This window comes from Homo sapiens, chromosome 4, assembly GCF_000001405.40.
Source record: "Homo sapiens chromosome 4, GRCh38.p14 Primary Assembly".
Classification (NCBI taxonomy): Eukaryota; Metazoa; Chordata; class Mammalia; order Primates; family Hominidae; genus Homo; species Homo sapiens.
Genome location: NC_000004.12, coordinates 6,747,796 through 6,749,406, shown reverse-complemented (window position 1 = coordinate 6,749,406; position 1,611 = coordinate 6,747,796). Strand labels below are relative to the sequence as shown.

Genomic DNA, 1,611 nt, shown 5'->3' with positions numbered 1-1,611 from the left:
GCCCAGCTTTGCATGGGCTGGATCTGCCCTGTAGTGTGAGGAGGTGCCTGGCTGAAGTGTGCCTCATTTTCCCCATCTGTCAAAGCAGATGAGAATTCCTACCTCTCAGAGCTCTCAAGAGCAGCCAATGAGATAATATTAGAGAATTAGAGAAAGTGCATTTTAACCCCGAGGCTCATCTGCAAAGGGTTGCTGCTGCTGTTACTATTGTTATTGCTATGTTATTATTAAGACTGACACATGGGGCCAGGCGCGGGGGCTCACGCCTGTAATCCCAGCACTTTGGGAGGCCAGGGCAGAAGGATCACGAGGTCAGGAGACCGAGACCATCCTGGCTAACACGGTGAAACCCTGTCTCTACTAAAAATACAAAAAATTAGCCGGGCGTGGTGGCGGACACCTGTAGTCCCAGCTACTCAGGAGGCTGAGGCAGGAGAATGGTGTGAACCCAGGAAGTGGAGCTTGCAGTGAGCCGAGATCATGCCACTGCACTCCAGCCTGGGCGACAGAGCGAGACTCTGTCTCAAAAAAAAAAAAATGACCGACACATGGGGGGCTGCTGGATTCAGTGGGAGAAACCAGAGACATCAGAACTTGAATTCCAGTCCTCTTTCTGAGTAGCTGTAGATCTGGGAAATCACTTCTCCAACTCAATTTCCCGATCTATAAATATTTCAGAGGGGTGAGTGCTTGGGCTCTGTGTTGGCCAAGGTCAGCCTGGGAGGGTGGGACCGGCAGCGGGGTCTTCTCCCAAGCCAGGGGCAGCATCCTTTTGGACCAAGGCCAAGTCACCACTCTGGCCTCCTGACGCTGCCCCTGCCCTGGCCTGACCCCTCTCCTGCCCCCCGACCCAGCCAGCCTAAGTGCACACTCTCATGACCCTTCGCCTGTGCATGAACCTGTGCTGTTTATGAGGCTTTTCACCCAAATGGTGCTGTCACCCCCTTTGACAAACAACGCTGTTTGGCTGCAGCTGTGGGTAGCTCCTGCGCTGGGCCCACAGGAGCCGCAGGCCAGTGGAGACAGATGGACAGCCGCACCACAAGATGGAGCTCAGGGTAGGGAGGGGCCCTCAGCTGGACCTTGGAGGGGCCCTATGGCCTCAGCACCTGCCCCTTGTGCCACTTCTCAGGTCCAGATTCATTGCTGGCTCCCCAGCTTCAAACAGGTGCCTTGGGGCCCTAGGTGTCCAGTGAGTGCACGGAATGAGTGAAAGAGTGCAGGAACGAAGTGAGGTGGAGAATATTTAATTATCCTTATAGCAGGCCCCAGAATTCTTTGCAGGGAGGGAACTCGACCTCGGGAAATCACCTAGTCGAGCCTCTTAGGTGGTGATGGAGGCATCAGGAAGCGTTTGCTGTCTGAGTGGCGGACGGTCCCCCTCGCCTCCTGTGCTTCTTGGCTCAGGTCCCCTTCCTAGGCCTTTTTCTCTGCCAGGAGTTGGGTGGGGCTCTCCCCAGTCTGGATAGCCCAGGGGCAGGGCGGTCTCCATGCAAACACTTGCTGTGCTGTGTGGCCTCAAACCGTCCACTGACCCTCCCTTGGCCTCAGTTTTTCCATCTGTGAGAGGACAGTCTGCCCAGATCTGTGCCCAGGAGGCACGGTGGTGGG

General features: G+C 55.9%; 1 annotated feature.

Moving 5' to 3' along the window:
• Positions 447-1,224: an enhancer, noted in NCBI's record as "H3K27ac-H3K4me1 hESC enhancer chr4:6749910-6750687 (GRCh37/hg19 assembly coordinates)". NCBI's record gives its function as "activates a minimal SCP1, AML or CMV promoter by ChIP-STARR-seq in naive H9 embryonic stem cells {active_cell/tissue: H9 hESC(naive)}" and the evidence as "EXISTENCE:reporter gene assay evidence [ECO:0000049][PMID:30033119]".